The sequence below is a fragment of the Homo sapiens genome, chromosome 11 (genome assembly GCF_000001405.40).
Source record: "Homo sapiens chromosome 11, GRCh38.p14 Primary Assembly".
In the NCBI taxonomy this organism is placed as follows: Eukaryota; Metazoa; Chordata; class Mammalia; order Primates; family Hominidae; genus Homo; species Homo sapiens.
The window spans coordinates 94,375,500-94,402,615 of NC_000011.10; the positions used below are offsets into that span (position 1 = coordinate 94,375,500).

At 45.0% G+C, this 27,116-nt stretch overlaps 1 protein-coding gene across 2 annotated transcripts, besides 1 other annotated feature; it reads right to left on the reverse strand.

The window, feature by feature from the left end:
- Positions 1–1,816: 1,816 nt before the first annotated feature.
- GPR83 (G protein-coupled receptor 83) lies at positions 1,817–25,920 on the reverse strand. 2 transcript variants are annotated; one of them, NM_016540.4, is made up of 4 exons: positions 25,362–25,920; positions 20,900–21,025; positions 17,986–18,119; positions 1,817–5,274 (listed from the first exon to the last, which is right to left on the reverse strand). In NM_016540.4, the coding sequence occupies exons 1-4, from the start codon at positions 25,746–25,748 to the stop codon at positions 4,650–4,652; spliced, it is 1,272 nt and encodes a 423-aa protein (NP_057624.3). In that variant the 5' UTR covers positions 25,749–25,920; the 3' UTR covers positions 1,817–4,649. The 2 variants fall into 2 exon arrangements, with proteins under 2 accessions (NP_057624.3, NP_001317274.1); NM_001330345.2 differs by lacking the exon at positions 20,900–21,025.
- Positions 4,785–4,982: a silencer, noted in NCBI's record as "fragment chr11:94113450-94113647 (GRCh37/hg19 assembly coordinates)". NCBI's record gives its function as "represses an EF-1alpha promoter that drives an FKBP-Casp9 reporter gene in an ReSE screen in HepG2 liver carcinoma cells {active_cell/tissue: HepG2}" and the evidence as "EXISTENCE:reporter gene assay evidence [ECO:0000049][PMID:32094911]".
- Positions 25,921–27,116: the final 1,196 nt, after the last annotated feature.

Sequence of the window (27,116 nt, forward strand, 5' to 3'; positions counted from 1 at the left end):
ACAAATGGGATCTAATTAAACTAAAGAGCTTCTGCACAGCAAAAGAAACTACCATCAGAGTGAACAGGCAACCTACAGAATGGGAGAAAATTTTTGCAACCTACTTATCTGACAAAGGGCTAATATCCAGAATCTACAATGAACTCAAACAAGTTTACAAGAAAAAAAACAAACAACCCCATCAAAAAGTGGGCGAAGGACATGAACAGACACTTCTCAAAAGAAGACATTTATGCAGCCAAAAAACACATGAAAAAATGCTCATCATCACTGCCCATCAGAGAAATGCAAATCAAAACCACAATGAGATAGCATCTCACACCAGTTAGAATGGCGATCATTAAAAAGTCAGGAAACAACAAGTACTGGAGAGGATGTGGAGAAATAGGAACACTTTTACACTGTTGGTGGGACTGTAAACTAGTTCAACCATTGTGGAAGTCAGTGTGGTGATTCCTCAGGGATCTAGAACTAGAAATACCATTTGACCCAGCCATCCCATTACTGGGTACATACCCAAAGGACTATAAATCATGCTGCTATGAAGACACATGCACACGTATGTTTATTGCGGCACTATTCACAATAGCAAAGACTTGGAACCAACCCAAATGTCCAACAATGATAGACTGGATTAAGAAAATGTGGCACATATACACCATGGAATACTATGCAGCCATAAAAAATGATGAGTTCATGTCCTTTGTAGGGACATGGATGAAGCTGGAAGCCATCATTCTCAGCAAACTATCACAAGGACAAAAAACCAAATACCGCATGTTCTCACTCATAGGTGGGAATTGAACAATGAGAACACATGGACACAGGAAGGGGAACATCACACACTGGGGACGGTTGTGGGGTGGGAGGAGGGGGGAGGGATAGCATTAGGAGATATACCTAATGCTAAATGACAAGTTAATGGATGCAGCACACCAACATGGCACATGTAAACATATGTAACAAACCTGCACGTTGTGCACATGTACCCTAAAACTTAAAGTATAATAATAATAAAATAAAATAAGATTCTATTCTACATACCTTCTCAGAACCTAATCTCCAAAAGGATAGCCTTTTCCCAGTTTAGCTGTGCATGACCTTTAGCAGGCTGCCTAAGTTGGCTGAGCCTCTGTTTCCTCATCTGCAATAATAATGCCCACCTTGGAGGACTGCTGTGAAGGTCAGTGAGATAATGAGCTCTGAGGCATTTAACGCAATACTGCACATAGACGGTGGTAACAAATTCTTAGTTCCTCTCCTTCGCCTACACCTTTCATTTTTCTTTCAAATTTTCCTCTAGGCTTAGCAAATTACCCCTATTTACAACCTTCTGTGAAATTGTTTGAAACTAATTTTCTGAACTCTGAATGGCATCAGGTAATTATGTATGTAATGAAGGCTTACCCAGCTTACCTGGTAGGATAGTAGGACCCCAGGCTACAGTGGCAGAATGGTAAACACAGGGAATGTGGTGTGCACTGCACACTGCCAAATGGGAGAATTGCTCTCAAGGCTTGAGTGGCAGCTTTGCCTCATCCTGAGTCACTGAGGAACAGATGGAGTCCCAGGTTAAAACATGCAGCACAGATTGTAAATACAAAAGAGGGAACTTGGGCAGCTGATCAATGGAAGAAACACTAGACAAAGAGGCAGAGGTTCCTCAACTGGCTATTTAATTTCTCAGGGCTTGAATCTCAGCATCTGTAAAATGCAGGATTGAGTCGATACTCTTCATGCTCCCTTCCTCTAATCCCTGCTGACCCCGTTTTAAAGGTTACCAGTTGTGACATAATTGCAAATCCAAGAGGCACAGTCCACAAACCTGAAGTAAATTTTATTGAGATGAGCAATTTACAATAAAACACTTTACAGCACATTGGAAAAACTCAAGTTTCACAAATTTTACATTCACAAAAAGAAGTCACTTTTTGCTCAAAGTCACACACGGACCTCGGGGAAGGGACAGATCTAATGAGCCATCAGTGGGTTCTCCCCAGAGTAAAAGGGTTTTCTCTGGGACTTGGCAGTACTGAAGGTCCCGGACTAACAATGATTCAACTTAGGATTTTTAAAAATTTTATGATGATGGGAAAGCAATACACATTCAGTAGAAACCATACTTCGCATATCCATACAACCATTCTGGTTTTCACCTTCAGTACAGTATTCAATAAATTACATGAGATATTCCATACTTCATTAGAAGATAGGCTTTGTGTTAAATGATTTTTCCCAGCTGTAGGCTAATATAAGTGTTCTCAGAGCATTTAAGGTAGGCTTGGCTAAGCTACGATGTTCAGTAGGTTGGGTGTATTCAATGCATTTTCAACTTCCAATATTTTGGACTTACGATGGGTTTATTGAGATGTAAGTCAAGGAGCTTCTGTATTCCTAGACACCCTCAGAGAGGAGTGAAGTACAACATCCTCCATGCTTCCCAGAGCAGGACAAACCTTCTGTATGCCTGCTGCCTTGTCTCATTCTGGTTCACAGAATTTCTATGGCAGCTTTCAGATGAAACCATTAGCTACTTCTTGACACACCACAGAGACAATAAGTACAGGCACATGAGCCATTTGTCCTGAAAAATCCATCTGGGGATCCCTGTGGGCTTAGAAGACTCTGTCTGCCCAATGAAAGTCATGGTTTTGCCCATAATTCAGTGAGTTTTCAAAATCTTGTGTCTTGAAAATTTTCAACCATCTTCATAAATAGAAACTAGGATAAAGAACCCTCATAGTTCATTACAGGGAAGCAGATGATGTGAGCAAGTTCAGTTTCAGTTAACAGCCAAGAGGTCTAAGTGACAAACTCTTTCTCCCTCAAACCTTAGTTTCCTACTGAGCTCATATCCATGCTTTGATTTCAGAGTTTATCTGGTGCTAGAAGAAAACCTAAAAGCAGTGTGTCAGTAACAATTGTTTAGAGCAGGTGAATTAAGCTCGATTCTGCCTGACAGGTCTCTTTTCTGGGTGACACAGTGAGTCACTCAGGACCAGACAGAAGGTGATAAAAACAATCAGTCCCTGGAATGAGATTTCTCTGGCAAGTTAGACCCTTAAGAATTGAGATCTCTTAAGGATGCATAAGTTTCTGTAAGTGAAAGTTACACCTGAACCACCAAAATGATGTTGACAGCGAATCTCCTTTTGAGAAATGGTGTGAAAAAACCCTCATTATTTAGACAACACAGCGAAATGGCCTTTCTAGACAGCTTGGGAGGATGAGGTGTCTAAGCACAATTACTTCCAGCATATTGGAAAGCCTGCTCCCTCATCTCTTGTGAAAACAGAACAATGTTTCACCACCACTTGTTTTTGTGCAATTGCAGGAGAGAAGGAATCATGCCTCCTGGTTGAGTTTGATTCCCTGGTTCATCTTGAGGCTGCCTCTAAGGAGGGGCATGTGAGCCAGGCCCTTCCCACCACTGTCTACAATAGGGGGCAGTTCTGTCTGCGTGGTGACAGGCTTCACCTTGGGATCTTCTCACCTCTTCTTCAACTCTTCTGGTGGACACCCCTGGGAAAGGTACCCCTGTTTCTGTTAATCATTACAATCTAAATGAAAAAGTATAAATGAAAAAAAAGGGCCGGGCGGGGTGGCTCACGCCTGTAATCCCAACACTTTGGGAGGCCTAGGCAGGTGGATCACGAGGTCAGGAGATCGAGACCATCCTGGCTAACACGGTGAAACCCCGTCTCTACTAAAAATGCAAAAGATTAGCCGGGCATGGTGGCGGGCACCTGTAGTCCCAGCTACTAGGGAGGCTGAGGCAGGAGAACGGCATGAACCTGGGAGGCAGAGCTTGCAGTGAGCCGAGATTGTGCCACTGAACTCCAACCTGGGTGACAGAGCGAGATTCCATCTCAAAAAAAAAAAAAAAAAGAAAAAAAAAAGGTCATGCACACATGCACACAATCACACACACGAAGGAAAATGTTGCAAATAGAGCCACAGCATGTTCACAGATGTTATCACAAATGGATGGGATAAGAGAGTGATTTTGTGTGTGTGTATGTGAGTGTGTGCTTTTCTGAATTTTTCTAAGTGGCAATAATAATTTCCCTTTGTTTTAAGGAACCCAAGTTGGTCCTTTCTTATCTGGATATTGCTAGGCCACTGAAGACTTATGATTCATCATGGCCCAGTGACTCCAGAAAGTGAGGCATAAAAATCTCCACGCCCGCTCTGGCTTGCTGGCATTTCCCTGGCCCGTGTACCTGTTTCAAGCAGAGCTCTGTGCATCTGGGTCACCACACCCAAAGTATGATTTAGGTCTCCCTTAGGGATGCTCAGCAGTAGGAAGGGCTGTAAGGCAGCAGCTGCCCCACAGATGGAGGCAGTTGAATGATTCAGCCCCCATCTGGGCCAACGTTGTCCTCGCTCCTCTTCCTCAGAGATACAGGCTGCTGTGCCTCCCAGTGTTTCTTAGATGGGAATTTATGAACACATGTCTAGTTGGTGGTGCCTTTTAGTTTTCACATCACATGGGGCTAGGAGGCTGGACAGTTTCCTAGGAATTCAAGAGTCCTACAGCTTCTGCAGGAGTGTGTTTCCAGCACTCTGAAGATCATGTGTGAGAATAGGCTCTCTTTCCCTGCCTCAGGTGGAGACAGACCCCTCCCACTCCCTCTTCCCAACCTCTTCTAACTCATCGTCACAATGGGTTCCACAGATGACAGGTCTGTCTTCCCAGACTGGAGTTGGGAGGTGGGCAGGAGGTTATTGGCAAGGGGAGCCCTCTGGCCATCATTCTTCTCTGTCCAGGCCACCCTGAAGGAAGGAACTGGGGAGGGTGGCCTGTCCTCCTGAGGCTTGGGAGGTCTTTGACACATGCTCAGTAATGCCTTTAGCTCAATCCTGAAGTTCTCGTTCAGCCAGCAGTATATGAAGGGGTTATAGCAGGTGCTGCTCATGGCAAACCAGTGGAAGGCAAAGTAGAGGGCATTGTTGGTGCGGATGACCTTGCTGGACAGGAGGAGGACGTAGCAGTTGAGGGGGAACCAGCAGAGGGCAAAGAGGACTACCACCAGCATCAACATCTTGATGGTCTTCTTCTTTTTGCGCCGCAGGGCAAAGTACTGCTCTGTGGTCACATCGCCAATCATATTACACAGCCACAGTTTCTTGGCCACACGAGCGTAGGCCACAGAGATGATGAGGAGGGGCAGGATGTAGAGCAGGATGAAGGTGGCCAAGTCCAGGTACTTCCAGAAGAGGTCAGCTGGCTCAGGGAAGTCTGGCAGGCAGAGGGAGCGCACAATGTCCTCACTGGGGGCAGGAAGTGGGGAGGGGGAGAGAGGTAACAGAAAGGAGATATTAGTGTGGAAAGGCTTCATCCCAAGAAGCACTGGCCTCTCCTTCCACTGGGCTCCTGGTACATCCATCTAATATGGCACTTTTGATGCTGTAGCCTAATTATCTGATTACATTTCTACCTCCCCCACTAGGCTGGGAATTGCATAGAGGTAAATAATACACCTGAATTTCTCTGTGTTCTCTTAATCTTGTGCAATTCCTAGCCCACAGTAGAGACCCAATACATATTTGTTGAATAAATGAATGAAATGCTCATGTTTCCAGGTTGAAAACTAACTCATCCTTGAGGAAATCCTAGAATTTCCCATTCTGCTACTTCCCCATTTTAAAGGGAAAACTAAGGCATAAAGAAAAGAAATGATGGATCTTGAGCATATGAGTGGTAAAGCCTGAACTAACATCCCTTCAGCCACTCATAGAACAAGTATTTATTTGATATGGAATGCACCCCAGTCCTCTTCAGCCTTTTTAGGAATATCCATGTGGCTTGGTGCTCTAGTTCTATGTCCTGGTGGTCATCACTAACAAAAGAGAGAGGAAACTTCCTTTGCTTTTTTTAGGGGGGAAAAAAAGTCCTCCGTGTGGAAAGGTAGAAGGGCAGCCTGGATGTTGGGGGGCCTGGGTGAGTGATTCATTTCAATGTCCTAGAATTCCTGGAGGGGGCCTTTATAAGTTAGTTGAAATCTGCCTTCCGAGCCTGTTTCTCTTGACCCTGCTTTTGTCACAGGAGTGAGTGAGTGTGTGTGTGTGTGTGTGTGCGCGCGTGCTGCAGGTGGGGTGGCACATGGCTCCTGTGGCAGACACTCCCTGGATCCCTGCAGTCTGGAGAACCAACCCCCCAGGAAGAAACAGCTGGCACCTGTGATCTTCTAGGTGCCTAGGACTCCCCTAAGGCCACTCAAGGCCCTTCCCACGATTCACTACAGCCATAATTGGTCGGGAGTTTCCAATTTTCCTAGGAAAGACCTGTAATAAAAGACTGAGAGACGGAGAAATAGGAAAGCCCAGTTACCTGGCCTCAAGGTGAGGCAAACTCTGCATTTTCAGTCTGCCCCAGAGCCTCCTGTGGGGCAGGGGCAGCTTCCCCTGAAATCATACCCTTCCTTAGTCTCTCCCTGGTCTCTGTCCAGCCTCTGCCACTCTCTTTCCCATTGCTCCTGGGAGCACTGCCTCAATTAGCCACTTGTAGGTGTACCTGCCTTTATCACAAAACCTGTCTCTAAGGAAGCTCATCTAACACAACAAATGAGGCCCAGCACGGTGGCTCATGCCTGTAATCCCAGCACTTTGTGAGGCCGAGATGGGCGGATCACCTGAGGTCAGGAGTTCCAGACCAGCCTGACCAACATGGAGAAACCGTGTTTCTACTAAAAATACAAAATTAGCTGGGCATGGTGGCACATGCCTATAATCCCAGCTACTCGGGAGGCTGAGGCAGGAGAACCCAGGAGGCAGAGGTTGCGGTGAGCTGAGATTGTGCCATTGCACTCCAGCATGGGCAACAAGAGTGAAACACCATCTCAAAAAAAAAAAAAAAAAAAAAAAAGCAGGAGTTACAATCCTAATCTCTGATAAAACAGACTTTAAGCCAACAAATATCAAAGGAGACAGAGAAGGGCATTACATAATGGTAAAGGGATCAATGCAGCAAGAAAAGCTAACTATCCTAAATATATATGCACCCAATACAGGAGCACCCAGATTCATAAAGTAAGTTCTCAGAGACCTACAAAGAGACTCAGACTCTCACACAATAATAGTGGGAGACTTCACCACCCCACTGTCAATATTAGACAGATCAATGAGACAGAAAATTAACAAGGATATTCAGCACTTGAACTCAGCTCTCGACCAAATGGACCTAATAGACATCTACAGAACTCTCCACCCCAAATCAACAGAATATACATTCTTCTCAGTACCTCATCACACTTATTCTAAAATTGACCACGTAATTGGAAATAAAACACTCCTTAGCAAATGCAAAAGAACAGAAATCATAACAGTCTCTCAGAGCACAGTGCAATCAAACTAGAACTCAGGATTAAGAAACTCACTCAAGGCCGGGCACGGTGGCTCATGCCTGTAATCCCAGCACTTTCGGAGGCCAAGGCGGGCGGATCATGAGGTCAGGAGCTTGAGACCATCCCGGCTAACACAGTGAAACCCTGTCTCTACTAAAAATACAAAAAAAAAATTAGCCAGGCTTGGTAGCGGGCACCTGTAGTCCCAGCTACTCGGGAGGCTGAGGGAGGAGAGGTGGAGCTTGCAGTGAGCTGAGATCATGCCACTGCACTCCAGCCTGGGCGACAGAGTGAGACTCCGTCTCAAACAAAAAAAGAAAAAAAAAAAAAGAAACTCACTCAAAACCACACAACTACATGGAAACTGAACAACCAGCTACGAAATGCCTACTGAGTAAATAACGATATGAAGGTAGAAATAAAGAAGCTCTTTGCAACCAAGAAGAATGAAGACACAACGTACCAGAATCTCTGGGACACATTTAAAGCAGTGTGTAGAGGGAAATTTATAGCACTAAGTGCCCACAAGAGAAAGCAGGAAAGATCTAAAATTGACACCTTAACATCAAAATTAAAAGAACTCAAGAAGCAACAGCAAACAAATTCAAAAGCTAGCAGAAGGCAAGAAATAACAAAGATCAGAGCAGAACTGATGGAGATAGAGACAAAAAACCCTTCAAAAAAATCAGTGAAACCAGGAGCTGGTTTTTTGAAAAGATCAACAAACTTGATAGACCACTAGAAGACTAATAAAGAAGAAAAGAGAGAAGAATCGAATAGATGCAATAAAAAATGATAAAGGGGATATCACCACTGATCCCACAGAAATACAAACTCCGATCACAGAATACTATAAACACCTTTACACAAATAAACTAGAAAATCTAGAAGAAATGGATAATTCCTGGACACATACATCTTCCCAAGTCTAAATCAGGAAGAAGTCAAATCCCTGAATAAACCACTAACAAGTTCTGAAATTGAGGCAGTAATTAATAGCCTACCAACCAAAAAAAGTCCAGGACCAGACAGATTCACAGCCAGATTCTACCAGAGGTACAAACAGGAGCTGGTACCATTCCTTCTGAAACTATTCCAAACAATAGAAAAAGAAGGAATCCTCCTTAACTCATTTTATTAGGCCAGCATCACGCTGATACCAAAACCTGGCAGAGACACAACAAAAAAAAAGAAAATTACAGGCCAACATCCCTGAGGAACATGAATGCGAAAATCCTCAATAAAATACTGGCAAACTGAATCCAGTAGCACATCAAAAAGCTTATCCACCGTGATCAAGTTGGCTTCATCCCTGGGATGCAAGGCTGGTTCAACATATGCAAATCAATAAATACAATGTATCACACAAACAGAACCAATGACAAAAACCACAATTATCTCAATAGATGTAGAAAAGGCCTTCAACAAAATTCAGCACCCTTTCATGCTACAAACTCTCAATAAACTGGGTATCGATGGAACATATCTCAAAGTAATAAGAACTATTTATGGGGTGGTTCCAAGATGGCCGAATAGGAACAGCTCCAGTCTACAGCTCCCAGTGTGAGCGACGCAGAAGACAAATGATTTCTGCATTTCCAAGAGAGGTACCGGGTTCATCTCACTGGGGATTGTCGGACAGTGGGTGCAGGACAGTGGGTGCAGCACACAAAGCATGAGCCGAAGCAGGGCAAGGCATCGCCTCACCTGGGAAGTGCAAGGGGTCAGGGAATTCCCTTTCCTAGCCAAGGAAAGGGGTGACAGACGGCACCTGGAAAATCAGGTCAGCGGCAGCGAGGCTGGGGGAGGAGCGTCCGCCATTGCTGAGGCTTGAGTAGGTAAACAAAGCGGCCAGGAAGCTTGAATTGGGTGGAGCCCACTGCAGCTCAAGGAGGCCTGCCTCCCTCTGTAGACTCCACCTCTGGGGACAGGGAATAGCCAAACAAAAGGCAGTAGAAACCTCTGCAGATTTAAATGTCCCTGTCTGACAGCTTGGAAGACAGTAGTGGTTCTCCCAGCATGCAGCTTGAGATCTGAGAACGGATAGACTGTCCTCAAGTGGGTCCTTGACCCCCGAGTAGTCTACCTGGGAGGCAACCCCCAGGAGGGGCAGACTGACATCTCACATGGCCAGGTACTCCTCTGAGACAAAACTTCCAGAGGAACTGATCAGGCAGCAACATTTGCTGTTCACCAATATTTGCTGTTCTGCAGCCTCTGCTGCTGATACCCAGGCAAACAGGGTCTGAAGTGGACCTCCGGCAAACTCCAACAGACCTGAAGCTGAGGGTCCCGACTGTTAGAAGGAAAACTAACAAACAGAAAGGACATCCACACCAAAACCCCATCTGTACGTCACCATCATCAAAGACCAAAGATAGATAAAACCACAAAGATGGGGAAAAAACAGAGGAGAAAAACTGAAAATTCTAAAAATCAGAGCACCTCTCCTCCTCCAAAGGAACATAGCTCCTCACCAGCAATGGAAAAAAGCTGGACGGAGAATGACTTTGATGAGCTGAGAGAAGAAGGCTTCAGACGATCAAACTTCTCCAAGCTAAAGGAGGAAGTTCGAACCCACGGCAAAGAAGTTAAAAACCTTGAAAAAAGATTAGACTAATGGCTAACTAGAATAACCAATGCTGAGAAGTCCTTAAAGGACCTGATGGAGCTGAAAACCATGGCACAAGAACTACGTGATGAATGCACAAGCCTCAGTAACCAATGTGATCAACTGGAAGAAAGGGTATCAGTGATGGAAGATCAAATGAATGAAATGAAGCGAGAAGAGAAGTTTAGAGAAAAATGAATAAAAAGAAATGAACAAAGCCTCCAAGAAATATGGGACTATGCGAAAAGACCAAATCTATGTCTGATTGGTGTATCTGAAAGTGACGGGGAGAATGGAACCAAGTTGGAAAACACTCTGCAGGATATTATCCAGGAGAAATTCCCCAATCTAGCAAGGCAGGCCAACATTCAAATTCAGGAAATACAGAGAATGCCACAAAAGTACTGCTCAAGAAGAGCAACTCCAAGACACATAATTGTCAGATTCACTGAAGTTGAAACGAAGGAAAAAATGTTAAGGGCAGTCAGAGAGAAAGGTCGGGTTACCCACAAAGGGAAGCCCATCAGACTAACAGTGGATCTCTTGGCAGAAACCCTACAAGCCAGAAGAGAGTGGGGGCCAATATTCAACACTCTTAAAGAAAAGAATTTTCAACCCAAAATTTCATATCCAGCCAAACTAAGCTTCATAAGTGAAGGAGAAATAAATTACGTTACAGATAAGCAAATGCTGAGAGACTCTGTCACCACCAGGCCTGCCCTACAAGAGCTCCTGAAGGAAGCACTAAACATGGAAAGGAACAACTGGTACCAGCCAATGCAAAAACATGCCAAATTGTAAAGACCATTGAGGCTAGGAAGAAACTGCACCAACTAATGAGCAAAATAGCCAGCTAACATCATAATGACAGGATCAAATTCACACATAATAATATTAACCTTAAATGTAAATGGGCTAAATGCTCCAATTAAAAGACACAGCCTGGCAAATTGGATAAAGAGTCAAGTCCCATCAGTGTGCTGTATTCAGGAAACCCATCTCATGTGCAGAGACACATATGGGCTCAAAATAAAGGGATGGAGAAAGATCTACCAAGCAAATGGAAAACAAAAAAACGCAGGGGTTGCAATCCTAGTCTCTGATAAAACAGACTTTAAACCAAAGGCCATTACATAATGGTAAAGGGATCAATTCAAAAAGAAGAGCTAACTATCCTAAATATATATGCACCCAATACAGGAGCACCCAGATTCATAAAGCAAGTCCTTAGAGACCTACAAAGAGACTTAGACTCCCACACAATAATAATGGGAGACTTTAACACCACATTGTCAACATTACACAGATCAATGAGACAGAAAGTTAACAAGGACATCCAGTAATTGAACTCAGCTCTGCACCAAGTGGACCTAATAGACATCTACAGAACTCTCCACCCCAAATCAACAGATTACACATTCTTCTCAGCACCACAGTGCACTTATTCCAAAATTGACCACATAGTTGGAAGTAAAGCACTCCTCAGCAAATGTAAAAGAACAGAAATTATAACAAACTCTCTCCCAGAACACAGAGCAATCAAACTAGATCTCAGGATTAAGAAACTCACTCAAAACCGCTCAACTACATGGAAATTGAACAACCTGCTCCTGAATGACTACTGGGTACATAATGAAATGAAGGCAGAAATAAAGATGTTCTCTGAAACCAAAGAGAACAAAGACACAACATACCACAATCTCTGGGACACATTTAAAACAGTGTGTAGGGGGAAATTTATAGCACTAAATGCCCACAAGGGAAACCAGGAAAGATCTAAAATTGACACCCTAACATCACAATTAAAAGAACAAGAGAAGCAAGAGCAAACACATTCAAAAGCTAGCAGAAGGCAAGAAATAACTAACATCAGAGCAGAACTGAAGGAGATAGAGACACAGAAAACTCTTCAAAAAATCAATGAATCCAGGAGCTGGTTTTTTGAAAAGATCAACAAAATTGATAGACCGCTAGCAAGACTAATAAAGAAGAAAAGAGAGAAGAATCAAATAGATGCAATAAAAAATGATAAAGCAGATATCACCACTAATCCCACAGAAATACAAACTACCATCAGAGAATACTATAAACACCTCTATGCAAATAAACTAGAAAATCTGGAAGAAATGGATAATTTCCTCGACACATACACCCTCCCAAGACTAAACCAGGAAGAAGTTGAATCTCTGAATAGACCAATAACAGGCTCTGAAATGGAGGCAATAATTAATAGCCTACCAACCAAAAAAAGTCCAGGACCAGACGGATTCACAGCCGATTTCTACCAGAGGTACAAGGAGGAGCTGGTACCATTCCTTCTGAAACTATTCCAATCAATAGAAAAAGAGGGAATCCTCCCTAACTCATTTTATGAGGCCAGCATCGTCCTGATACCAAAGCCTGGCAGAGACACAACAAAAAGAATTTTAGACCAATATCCCAGACGAACATCAATGCAAAAATCCTCAATACAATACTGGCAAACCGAATCCAGCAACACATCAAAAAGCTTATCCACCATGATCAAGTGGGCTTCATCCCTGGGATGCAAGGCTGGTTCAACATATACAAATCAATAAACGTAATCCAGCATATAAACAGAACCAATGACAAAAACCACACGATTATCTCAATAGATGCAGAAAAGGCCTTTGACAAAATTCAACAGCCCTTCATGCTAAAAACTCAGTAAATTAGGTATTGATGGGACGTATCTCAAAATAATAAGAGCTATCTATGACAAACCCACAGCCAATATCATTCTGAATGGGCAAAAACTGGAAGCATTCCCTTTGAAAACTGGCACAAGACAGGCATGCCCTCTCTCACCACTCCTATTCAACACAGTGTTGGAAGTTCTGGCCAGGGCAATCAGGCAGGAGAAGGAAATAAAGGGTATTCTGTTAGGAAAAGAGGAAGTCAAATTGTCCCTGTTTGCAGATGACATGATCGTATATCTAGAAAACCCCATCATCTCAGCCCAAAATCTCCTTAAGCTGATAAGCAACTTCAGCAAAGTCTCAGGATATAAAATCAATGTGCAAAAATCACAAGCATTCTTATACACCAATAACAGACAAACAGAGAGCCAAATCATGAGTGAACTCCCATTCACAATTGCTTCAAAGACAATAAAATACCTAGGAATCCAACTTACAAGGGATGTGAAGGACCTCTTCAAGGAGAACTACAAACCACTGCTCAAGGAAATAAAAGAGGATACAAACAAATGGAAGAATATTCCATGCTCGTGGGTAGGAAGAATCAGTATTGTGAAAATGGCCATACTGCCCAAGGTAATTTATAGATTCAATGCCATCCCCATCAAGCTACCAGTGACTTTCTTCACAGAATTGGAGAAAACTACTTTAAAGTTCATATGGAACCAAAAAAGAGCCCACATTGCCAAGTCAATCCTAAGGCAAAAGAACAAAGCTGGAGGCATCATGCTACCTGACTTCAAACTATACTACAAGGCTACAGTAACCAAAACAGCATGGTACTGGTACCAAAACAGAGATATAAACCAATGGAACAGAACAGAGCCCTCAGAAATAATGCCACGTATCTACAACTATCTGGTCCTTGACAAACCTGACAAAAACAAGAAATGGGGAAAGGATTCCCTATTTAATAAATGGTGCTGGGAAAATTGGCTAGCCATATGTAGAAAGCTGAAACTGGATCCCTTCCTTACACCTTACACAAAAATTAATTCAAGATGGATTAAAGACTTAAATGTTAGACCTAAAACCATAAAAACCCTAGAAGAAAACCTAGGCAATACCATTCAGGACACAGGCATGGGCAAGGACTTCATGTCTAAAACACCAAAAGCAACGGCAACAAAAGCCAAAATTGACAAATGGGATCTAATTAAACTAAAGAGCTTCTGCAGAGCAAAAGAAACTACCATCAGAGTGAACAGGCAACTTACAGAATGGGAGAAAATTTTTGCAATCTACTCATCTGACAAAGGGCTGATATCCAGAATCTACAAAGAACTCAAACAAATTTACAAGAAAAATCAACCCCATCAACAAGTGGGCGAAGGATATGAACCAACACTTCTCAAAAGAAGACATTTATGCAGCCAACAGACACATGAAAAAATGCTCATTATCACTGGCCATCAGAGAAATGCAAATCAAAACCACAATGAGATACCATCTCACACCAGTTAGAATGGCAATCATTAAAAAGTCAGGAAACAACAGGTGCTGGAGAGGCTGTGGAGAAATAGGAATACTTTGACACTGTTGGTGGGACTGTAAACTAGTTCAACCACTGTGGAAGTCAGTGTGGCGATTCCTCAGGGATCTAGAACTAGAAATACCATTTGACCCAGCCATCCCATTACTGGGTATATACCCGAAGGATTATAAATCCTGCTGCTATAAAGACACATGCAGACGTATGATTATTGCGGCACTATTCACAATAGCAAAGACTTGGAGCCAACCCAAATGTCCAACAATGATAGACTGGATTAAGAAAATGTGGCACATATACACCATGGAATACTATGCAGCCATAAAAAATAATGAGTTCATGTCCTTTGTGGGGACATGGATTAAGCTTGAAACCATCATTCTCAGCAAACTATCACAAGGACAAAAAACCAAACACCGCATGTTCTCACTCATAGGTGGGAATTGAACAATGAGAACACTTGGACACAGGAAGGGGAATATCACACACTGGGGACTGTTGTGGGGTGGGGGGAGGTGGGAGGAACAGCATTAGGAGATATACCTAATGTAAATGATGAGTTAATGGGTGCAGCACACCAACATGGCACATGTATACACATGTAACAAACCTGCACATTGTGCACACCTACCCTAAAACTTAAAATATAAAAAAGAAAAAAAAAAGAAAGATTTATGACAAACCCATAGCCAATATCATAATGAGTGAACAAAAACTGGAAGCATTCCCTTTGAAAACTGGCATAAAATAAGGATGCCGTCTCTCACCACTCCTATTCAACGTAGTATTGGAAGTTTTGGCCAGGGCAATCAGGCAGGAGAAAGAAAGAAAGGATATTCAAATGGGAAGAGAGGAAGTCAAATTGTCTCTGTTTGCAGATGACATGATTGTGTATTTAGAAAACCCCATTGTCTCAGCCCAAAATCTCCTTAAGCTGATAAGCAACTTCAGGAAAATCTCAGAATACTAAATCAATGTGCAAAAATCACGACCATTCCTATACACCAATAACAGACAAACAGAGAGCCAAATCATGAGTGAACTCCCACTCACAATTGCTACTAAGAGAATAAAATGCCTAGGAATACAACTTACAAGAGATGTGAAGGACCTCTTCAAGGAGAACTACAAACCACTGCTCAACAAAATAACAGAAGACACAAACAAATGGAAAAACATTCCATGCTCATGGATAGGAAGAATCAATATCATGAAAATGGCCATACTGCTCAAAGTAATTTATAGGTTCAATGCTATCCCCATCAAGCTACCACTGAGTTTCTTCACAGAATTGGAAAAAACTACTTTAAAATTCGTATGGAACCAAAAAAGAGCCCGCATTGCCAAGACATTCCTGGGCAAGAAGAACAAAGCTAGAGGCATCACGCTACCTGACTTCAAACTATACTACAAGGCTACAGTAACCAAAACAGCATGTTGCTGGTACCAAAACAGAGATATAGACCAATGGAATGGAACAGAGCCCTCAGAAATAACACCACACATCTACAACCATCTGATTTTTGACACACCTGACACAAACACACAATGAGGGAAAGAGTCCCTATTCAATAAATGTTGTTGGAAAAACTGGCTAGCCATATGTAGAAAACTGAAACTGGACCCCCTCTTTACACCTTATACAAAAATCAACTCAAGATGGATCAAAGACTTAAACTAAGACCTAGAATCATAAAAATCCTAGAAGAAAGCCTGGATACCATTCAGGACGTAGGCATGGGCAAAGACTTCATGTCTAAAATACCAAAAGCAATGGCAACAAAAGCCTAAATAGACAAATGGGATCTAATTAAACTAAAGAGCTTCTACACAGCACAAGAAACTAGCAATCAGAGTGAACAGGCAACCTACAGAATGGGACAAAATTTTTGCAATCTATCCATCTGACAAAGGGCTAATACCCAGGATCTACAAAGAACTTAAACAAATTTACAAGAAAACAAACAAACAACCCCATCAACAAGTGGGCAAAGGATATGAACAGACACTTCTCAGAAGAAGACATTTATGCAGCCAAGAGACATTTGAAAAAATGCTTGTCATCACTCGTCATCAGAGAAATGCAAATCAAAATTACAATGAGATACAATCTCATGCCAGTTAGAATGGCAATCATTAAAAAGTCAGGAAACAATTGATGCTGGAGAGGATGTGGAGAAATAGGAATGCTTTTACACTGTTGGTGGGAGTGTAAATTAGTTCAACCATTGTGGAAGACAGTGTGATGATTCCTCAAGTATCTAGAACTAGAAATACCATTTGACCCAGCAATCCCATTATTGGGTATACACCCAAAGAATTATAAATCATTCTACTATAAAGACACACGCACACATATGTTTATTGCGGCACTATTCACAATAGCAAAGACTTGGAACCAACCCAAATGTCCATCAATGATAGACTGGATAAAGAAAATGTGGCACACATACACCATGGAATACTATGCAGCCGTAAAAAAGGATGAGTTCATGTCCTTTGCGGGGACATGGATGAAGCTGGAAACCATCATTCTCAGCAAACTATCACAAGAACAGAAAACCAAACACCACATATTCTCACTCATAAGTGAGAGTTTAACAATGAGAACACATGGACCTAGGGAGGGAAACATCACACACTGGGTCCTGTCAGGAGGTGGGGGGCAAGCAGAGGGACAACATTAGGAGAAATACCTAATGTAGGTGACGGTTTGATGGGTGCAGCAAACCACCATGGCACGTGTATACCACAAAACTGCACATTGTGTACATGTACCCCAGAATTTAAAGTATAATAAAACAAATTTTTTTAAAAAGACATACCAGTGACCACCACCACCACCATCAATAAATGACAAAAATCACTCTATGGGGCCAGGCGTGGTGGCTCATGCCTGTAATCTCAGCACTTTGGGAGCCCAAGGTAGGCGGATAACCTGAGATCAGAAGTTCGATACCAGCCTGGCCAATACGGTGAAACCCCATTTCTACTAAAAATACAAAAAATTAGCTAGGCATGATGGTGCGTGCCTGTAATCCCAGCTACTTGGGAAGCTGAGGCAGGAGAATTGCTTGAACCCAGGTGGCGGAGGTTACAGTGATCTGAGATCCTGCCATTGTACTCCAGCCTGGGCAATAAAACGAGACTCTGTCTCAAAAAAAAAAAATCACTCTAAGATCATTCATTCATTCAGTAAATATGTACCAAGAGCCTGTTATGTGGAGGTGGTAAGCTAAGTGTTGAGATCACCGAGATAACAAAGAAACTGGGCCAATTCTTCCCAAACTGACAGTCCAGCAGGGAGATCACCTAATGAACCAGTTGAAGTTTTAAAAAACTGAGTGTTGAAAGAAAGACGTTCTCATTCAGTGATAGCATATGATAAACATACATGGTAGGTGGGGGAGGTAGAGAAGCCTGCCTCAGGCTCAGGCATGCATGCGGATTTTGTTTGTAGATAGTGTGAGAGGTTTACACCTTGCTCCTTTTCAACAAGGCCTTGGTGACTGGGATCTCAGGCTGCGTAAGTACGGCACCCTGGTGACAGATGCTGATAATTATTGCTTTGTCCTTGCAGAGAACCCGGAAAGAGAATAAGGGAGAAGCTAAAGAAGAGAGAAAGCAGACAAAATGTAGAGGACAGGCATGGACAAGGAGGTAACAGGATGGGAGCGAGCCAGAGAAAGACTCAGTAAGACAGGTACTAGTTACTCAGACAGTTGTGAGCTCCTGGGGGCCTCAGGTATCCCTTGGTGGAGCCTGACTCAGGAGAAGACACAAGTCCCCAGGCAGATCCCAACGAATTCATCTCACCTGTATTTGAAGGTAAATAATTTCTGGCAGATAGCATGTGGGAGTGAAAAGAACGTAGCCATGGTCCAGATGACAGCGATGTAGATGACACCCTTTGTGATTGAGATCCGGGGTTTCAAGGGGTGCATGATGACCTGGAAAACAAGCAAACCACATCACTAACTGAAGACGTTTTGGAGCAAATCAGAAATCTGGGTCAGGCGCAGGTGCTCACTCCTGTAATCCCAGCACTTTGGGAGTCTGAGGCAGAAGGATCACTTGAGCCCAGGAGTTCTAGACCAGACTGGGCAACACAGTGAGACCCTGTCTCTATATATTTAAAAAAATGAAAATACATAAATAAATAAAAAGAAATCTGGATGGCACGGCTCACTTGTCACATAAGGCAGGCCCTATTGATAAAGTCAAGCACCCCTTATGTTCATTATTGAGCCCCTGAGCTACATCAGGTAGCTGCTGGGGGAGAGGAGTCCCAGCCATGCCCCACTCAACAGCCCACCTCCAGAAGAGGAAAGAAAGGGTCATCTGGATTCAGAAAACCGGGGCAGGTCATCTGCCCCGCTGGTCATACTCAGGCTGAACCAGGGTCCAGTGAGAGGACTGGGGAGGGGTCCAGGAGGAAGGCTGCTCGCATGGCACCACGGCAAGGCTGGGAGAGGAGCAAGCCCACGGTCAGCCCCCACCTCCTTGGGACCTGAGCTCATCTTCCCATGATTCTAGACCCCTTAGATTATGATGGACTCTGAGAGGGTCTGAGCTGACAGACAGGAAGAGGCCATTCTCATCACTCATCCTGGGAAGCTGCACAGACACTTATGTGGGAACTCCCAACATGTTTATGAAAGCCATTACTAAAATCTCACCAGGGCCCAGCTCTCACACACCTACAATAAAGTCAGTGTTACAGGCTTCAGACTGAAATGCATCTTGGAGTTGCTACTGTATATCAATCAATTATCCTAAAAGGTTTAAATAAAGACTTAGGGATTTAAAACCATCCTCATTTTCAGATGAGAAACATTATTTTTTGAAAAAGGCATTTGGGATAGGTTAGTCCAGGGTTGGGGGAAGAGGTCAGGAAGAGCTGGCACCACCTCTAGATGCCATCCCAGAACACACTGGACATTCTGGCTGTGTCTCGAGCTTTTTTTTAATTCCTCCCAATGTTTTCAAGGTTTTATGGGAGGAAGCAATGAGGCTTCAGAAGCTGACAGCACATCTCCCTTCTGGATTCAGCCATCTCTGCCCCTCATACTCTTGTGTTCAGATTGCTGAAGGGAGTGGCAGCCTGGGGCAGAGGCTCCAAGCACTTCTCAAGGACTCTGCTGGCCTTGGGACAGAGCCCCTTGTTGGGGTATATGTTGCAGTAACATGGTCAACATGAGCAAGGCTTTGCCCCCACTCCCCAGACCCATCCTTAGCCCATGGTCAATGCTCAGTTGCGTTAATCTGGGGTAAGCATAGGCCAGGTAAAAGTAATCAGAAGTCCTTCTAGTTAAATTAAGGGAGATGGTTAAGAAAAGGCAGGAAATATTTATATGCAAACTTTTCACACTTTACACTAAAGCATCTGCAACATAAATTAAGATTGATTCTTACAAAATTCTGGCATTTCAGAGATAAAGAGATCTCAAATTTTGACTAGTCCCATTCCTTACCAGATGCTGGAATCTCCTCGAATACCTCCCCATCAAGTTGTCATCCTCACTTTGCTCTAATATGGCTGGTGACATGAAACTCATTACCTCCCAGGCAGGTTTGTCCACCTTTAGACACTTCTATGAGAGAATTCTTCCCACATTGGACTGTATCTTTGAATCTGCATCTTTGAAGCCTCCTATCCCGTGGTCCTTGCTGCATCTCATGGTGCTACTCAGAATAAATCTCATCTTTCTGTGTCTGGTGGCCCTCATAATACTGGCCTTGTAGATTCCTTTGAGTCTTCTCAGAGCAGCATGGTCTAGTGACTGGAACATGGGCTTGGAGCCAGACAGACCTCAGTCCTAATCCTAGCTTCACCATTCACAGGCACATGATCTCGGAAAAGCTACATATGCACTTTCCTGAGCCTCCATTCTATAATTCAGCGTAGGTCTAAGCGTACAACGTGAGTTCATTGAGTAAGCATGGAAAAGGCACCTGGCATGAAGCTGTCCTTCTTTGATGTCCTGGTCAGTTCCTTTCACCATATATACCCATGAGCTTCCCATGGGGGCAGAACTATTAGAACATCTTCCTGACCCAGGGCCACCATGCTCCACTGCAATGCCTGCTCCTGCCACCTGGACATCCTGGCTTGTTTTCCGTCTGAACAGCCTGAATTGGTGAATATTCATCTCTCACTCATCTCTGACCTGCAATTACTCCTCTCTCCTTTCATCTGTGATTTTCCGGGTTTGCTTTTCTATCCTCAAACAAGCTCACTAATTTCTGAGACAGAAAATGCCAGCAATGGCCGGGCATGGTGGCTCACGTCTGTAATTCCAGCACTTTGGGAGGCTGAGGCGGGTGGATCACCTGAGGTCAGGAGTTCGAGACCAGCCTGGCCGACATGGCAAAACCCTATCTCTACTAAAAGTACGAAAACTAGCCAGGCGTGGTGGCGAGCACCTGTAATCCCAGCTACTCAGGAGGCTGAGGCAGGAGATTTGCTTGAACCCAGGAGGCGGAGGTTGCAGTGAGTCGAGATGGTGCCACTGCACTCCAGCCTGAGCAACAAGAGTGAAACTCTGTCTCAAAAAAAAATTATGACAAAGGGCTTAATATCCCTAACCTATGTGTTCATGTTGATCAATAAGAAGAGAAACACACTCATTGAAAACTGGGCTAAAACACTGTCTTCAGAGCCCCTGCAACTTCCAGGAAAGGGAAGCAAGAGAGGGAAGAGCAGAGCATTAGGGGTAGGTGCCCTCACCTGGTGGCGATCCACCGCAATGGCTGTCAGTGTCAGTGCTGAGACGTGCAGTGAGCAGTACTGGGCAAAGCGGCTGACATGGCACATGCCCTTCCCAAATATCCATGTGCTGTTCACAAAGCGAACCTGGAGATGAGCCCAAAGATGTTAGGAGACAGACAGGCCTTGACTTTGACACCCATCCCTAGAGGTCTCTGAGGAGCATGCCCTTAGGGGGATTCCTCCAGCTCCTCCCTTCTTTCTGTCTATGATACTGAATTGTGGAGTAAACATGATTTTCTCCAGCACAACTCATTTTCATTCATTCAATTCAACAAACCCTGATCATGCTTCTGGGCCAGGCTCCATTAGGTGCCAGGAGAGCCTGGGAAGGATGTGTGCTATGGAGTTGGACTTCCCACCTCTAATAGTTTCTTACTGTGAGGGCTTGGGCAAGATAGGTAACCTCTCTGAATCTGTTTCCTCATTTGCAAAAAAAAAAAAAAGCCCTAAAAAATCTCTTCCTTATAGGCTTAGTATAAGGTTTAAATTTTTTAAATGTCTGTAAAGGGCAAAACACAATGTCTGGCAGATTGTTCAGATATTATTAGAAGTAAATAGTAGCTATCTTTATGTGCAATAACAAAATTCATTCTTGGTCCACACAAGTTCACTCTAGTAGGGGAGACATATCTGAATTGTCACAACATAGCATGTGGGCTGTGCTGGCAAATCTTGGCTAAACTGGCCTTGCAAGTCATCATCTGGGGAGGACACCCAGGGACCTGGAGAGGTATGAACAGGTGTGGGGAGAGAAGACAAGCTCCCCAAACCGTGTAGGGCCCTAGAAGCAGGCCCGGTCCTTATCCCACATCACCCAGCACTATTTACTCATTCAATTAGTACTTGAGCAGCTCCTGTGAGTAACGTCCCATGCCTGAGAGAGATTGAGCATTGATTCTGATTAAGGAGTTTGCAGCCAGGGCAGAGGCGGGCTCAACTCAAGTGCAAGACAGAAAGTAATCAGTGCTCTGTAGAGACTGATTAAAGGGCAATGGGGCCACCACATAGGGATGGGAGTGGGCAGAGGCACAGAGGCATAGAAATAGGGCAAGTTGGCCCAAGAGAAGGAGTATAATGTAGTGACTTACAGCAGGGTGTTTGCCACTGATCACTGTGACCTTGGGCAAGGCATTGGGCCCTCTGAGCCCCACTTTCCTCATCTGTAAAATGGGCTAACCCTTTTCACATGGTTGTTACATCAATCAAGATTGTTAACACATGTAAAGTAGGTACAACAGTGCCTAGTACATAGCAAGTACTTAACGCTATCAACTGCCATTATTACAACATATGAGACATTTGAACTGAAGAGGGATTTGCACATGTGGAGATGAGGACAAAAGGCATTGGCACTGGATCAGAAATCCCAGGACCTGTTTGGGGAATAAGGAGTGGATTGGCTTGTCTGGAGTGTGTGAACAAGAGTCATGTCAAGTCCGGCCAGATCTTGAAACTAGGACAACAGACCAGGGATGTTACTTTCTTTGCAGAGGACAGGGAGGAGCCATTGAGGCTTTTGAGCAGTTCAGTAACATTATAGAGCTAGAAATCTTCAGCTATTCCAACTTCTCACCCTTCACATTGGGATTACCAAATCCAACCAGTTCTGCCTCTCACTGATTTTCAAAACTGTTCCCTCTTCTTCAGTCCCAAGGCCATGGGCCTTGTGGGGTACCCCATTATCTCTCCCTTGGACTATTATAGCCTCTGAACAGCTTTCCCAGTTCTCCAGGTTTGTCACCTTGGAATTCAGCCTTCACACTCCTGACAGCATTTCTGCTAACCACAATCATATTGTTGTCACCCTCCTGTTTGGAATCATCCTGGCTCTCAGGACAGAGTATCCAGGCCCCTTCACAACCTGGCCCCGCCTTTCCTTCTGGCCACCTCCGCTTCTCCCTCCCCTGCCCACTCCTCCGCTGTGCTTCCTGATGCTCCAGCTTCATTGAGCCACTCAATGTTCCCTCAACACAAAGTGAACTTTGATGCTTCGATGCCTTTGTTCTCCCTGGTCCCTCTGTCTGCACTAAGTGTTCATCTCAACCCGGGAAATTTCTATTCAGTCAGGTCCTGTTGAAATGTCACATTCTTTGCAGTCTCCTTTGACCCTCTCGTGGGACTCTGATGGGTCAGAATGAAAGACTCCCTCCTCTACGTTCTCTGTGCATCTATCTTTATCTACCATGGGAACTGTAAGTAATTGTCTGCTTTTCTGTCCATCATCAGAGCTAGGCTTCATGCTGACTGCAGTAGATTAAGTGGACAGGAAGGGAGACCAGGGAAGAAGGATATTGTTGCCAATCAGGCAAAGGCAGGGATGCCTTTCCCGATGGGGGAGCCTGTGCTGAGTAAGGCCAAGGGGTTGGAAGTCCCTCCCCACAACCTTCTCCCTTTCCTACCTGCCAGCACCTTATAAACTGTAATCCAAGTTTGGATTGGGGCAGCTTGATGGGTCAGGTTCAAGGCTAAGCTGCTTTGGCTCATACTGGAGGGGGTGCTGGGCTCTGAGGACCTTGGCATCCTGTCTCTTGCAGGAGATCCTCTGGGGCAGGTATTGCCAGCTCTCAGGTGTAGCCTGTCCTCGCGTCCATGGCCTCCCTACCCCTTCTTGTGTCTGCTGCAGATCCAGCCCTGTATCCTGGCTCTGGGCAGCAGCAAAAAAGGCCATGTTCTGTGGCTTCCCAGTTCCCAACCTAGGTAGCACAGCCCAACCGTACCACTGTAGATTCTCAGGTCAGAAACCAAGGGAGGCGCCAACGGGTGACAGGGATGCTGTTGTCTTGTGCTTTGAGACACCCAGGGAGGAGGAGAGTATTTGAAAGCCCACTCATCCTTGGGTAATGCCCAGGGGATATTAAGTGGCCATCAATACGTTAGACGTAGGCTGAAAGGAGATCAGAACAAGTCCAGGGTTTGGAGTAGCAGAAGCTAAACATGGTCCAAGAGTGTCCTTCACTCCCAGCTGGCTGGTTAGTGGACCGACCTCTGGATTTGAGTTAGGGGATGGAATTCTCATCCTGGCTCTGCCAACTACTGGCCAGGTGGCTTTGGACAAGGGATTGAACCTCTCTGTGCCCTAGTTTTCTCATCTGCAAAATGTGAGTAATATTCTAATAAGTGAGGATGAGAAAGAGAATGTGAGGGTACTTTTTCAATATAAGATTTGGAAGGATGTTCACACAGGTGATGGACTTGTGGGGGTTCATCCTGTGTTTTTTGCTTGTCTGTTATATCTGGTTGTGTATGAGAGATGGCAAGGAGACAGACAGAGAGGGATTAATAGATATTGCTTTAGTAATCACTCAAATGACAAAGTTATTCCATAAAATGAAAAAATATAACACACTAGAGAAACATGCAGTATAACTGTCACTATGGTTGCTCAGTCATCGCCCTTACAGTCCCAAATCATCCATGAGAGCCACACTCCCCGGTCACAGCGGGACACCACCAGCGCTAAGTAGCCAGGGCTTGGGGAAGAATCCCATCAGCTGCCAATGTGCAAATGCCCCCAGCCTGCCCGATTTCTGGGGCCCAAGCCCACCTCCCCTCATTTCTTCCTCAACACAGACCTCAAACACAGCCTCATTATCAACCCACAGAAGGGAAATGCACTTTAAATAAGTGGTCTGGGAAAATGCACTTAATGTTCCATTAACAATTAGCAATTGTTTGATATTTCAGTTGTAGCACAAAGCAGTATCCCATGGGTACGGCTGGGCACTGAACAGGCTGCAATTCAGAGGGAGGGGGACCTGATCATCTCTGCTGACATTTCAGGGGCATTGATTTACTGCTCAATTATCAAGCAAGCCCAGACCCAGTGAGATTAAACAGGAAATGGTCATTCATTTCCAGCTGGCTGCAGACACTCAAACCATTGACCCAATGCCACCGCCGCAGAAGCTCTGGCTGATAAGGCGATGAGACAGAAAAAAGTGGGGAGAAATCAGAGAGTGAGGCAGGGGAGAGAGGAAGAGAGGAGAGGTGGGGAGAGGAGAGGAGAGGAGAGAGAATAGAAAAATAAAATCACAGAGAGACTGACAAGAAGAAAAAGAGATAACAGGTGAGGAGACAGAGACAGATGAATAGGGAGGCTGAAAGACAAAAAAAAAAAAAAAGATGAGGACACTGAGAGATAGAGAAGAGAGACAGAAAGACTTCAGAGAGAGAGACAGAGACTGAAAGAAAGACTAAGAAAAACAGGAGAGATACAAGAACCGAGATGACAGAGGAGGGAGAAAAGAGACTAGGACAGGAAGACAGAGGCAGAGGAGAGGAGAAATGAGGAGGAAGAGAGATGTGGAGAGAGAAGTGGGGACCCACAGGGAGACGCAGAACGGCAGAGGGAGGCCAGAGAACTGAGAGAGGAAAGGGAGACGAAGACAGAAGGTGGGGCGGCAGGCAGCGGGCCCCTTACCAAAGTGAAGGGGGTGTTGAGCAGCGTGATCATTATGTCGGCAACTGCCAGGTTGACGATGAAGAGGCTGGTGGCCGAGTGCATTCGCTGGTTCTTGAAGATGACATGACAGACCAGGACGTTGCCAAAGAGTGAGAAGACAATGATGAAGGAGTAAGCCACAATGAGCAGGGCTTTCACCGTGGGGTTCTGGGACTCAGCGCCGTAGCGCCTCCTGCCCACAAAGTTCTGCCAGTCGGAGAAGGTGTAGTTGTTCCAAGAGAAGAAGTGCGAGGCATTGGGCACGGCCAGGGCCGCCTCCGCGCTCTGCTCGTCGGCCCGGCCCTCGTGGGGCTCGGTGGCTCGCACCAAGGGGAGGAGACAGAGCAGCAAGAGGTGAGGGACCATTTTGCAGGAGCCACCCCTCCCCTGGGAGCCTGCGGGCCGGGCGTCCCCTCCCGCTGGGATCGGAGCGCGCAGCCGGGGTGCGGGGCGCACAGCATACAAGGCCGTCCCGAGGAGCCAGGGAGCCCGGACGCGCGGAGCACCGCGCCGCCCGCCACCAGCCCGCGGTCGGCACGCCAGCTCCGGGTTTGTTGGAGCACTTTTATATCTCTGCTCCCACCAGGCTGCTAGGGAGCGCCTCTGCCTATTGGGCAGCGCGGCGTCTCTCGCGGCGACGGTGACGCGCTCTGGCTCTGACAAGCCTGGCTCCCCCCACCCTACCGGGTGGCGCCGTTGCTGACCCCACGCCCAGCCGTTCCCACTCCCGCCTGAAACTCCTCCGACAGGGCTTCGCTTCGGGGGCTCAGTCCCCAGCGCGTACACACTCGCGTGGTGTCGGCTTAGCCTCTTGTAAAGGAAGCAGGGCAGGCAGGTGGGAGGAAGCCCACAGGGGCACTTGGGATGATGAGGGGGCATGCTGGCAAAGCCGGGTCAGTGACAAGGATATATTCCATTTGTTTCCACCTAAGCCTTAGCCTTGGCACAGTTTCAATATCGAAATGGATCGCTGCGTCCCGGCGGTCCCAGGAAAAAGGCAAACCAAAAAATAGAGACGTTAAGGATTCTCCAAGTCCCCGGAGTATCCAGATACCAGAGGTGCTGGAGGGCTTATTAAAGGATTACAGTTTCTTTGACAGCCCCCAGGAATGCAATCTGGGGAGCTTTGTTTTTCAAGGAAACTCTTCAAAGCAGTTCGGATACCATCAAAGAAGCGAAGGAAAAGAGAAGTTTAGCTGTGTGCTCACCTCTTGGGTAACTTGAATTTTTCTGCCATGGAAGTCCTTGAAGCTATATCTTTAAGGGATATTATGACCCATGCTGTTTTTCCTTCCCCATCTACTTCTTCAGGAAACCTTGCTATCCTGCTCACCCGTTTTCACTTCCACTGTGAAAACTCTCCCAGTCACTGGGTCCTCTGCCACCCACAAGCCTGTAGTAAAGACCATGGGCTCTGTAATTAGGGTTTAATCCCAGCTTTGTCACTTCCTAGCTGTGAAATCTTGGGCAAGCCATTTAACATTTTTGGCCTTGGTTAAAAGGCTTTCTTTTCCTAAATGTGAGGTTTTCAGAGACCCCTGTATACATCTCTCACTGCATTGCCCTCTGGTGCAAGACATGCAATATCTGGTTGACTACTGGTAACCACCCCTGACCCCCAACAGGAAACACCATGTAGATTCTTTACATTGTGTCAACGTGCCCTGGGGAGCAATGTCCTTGGGCTGGGACCCAAACAATGACTCAAACCTAGGTATTACTCTTGTCTCCAGT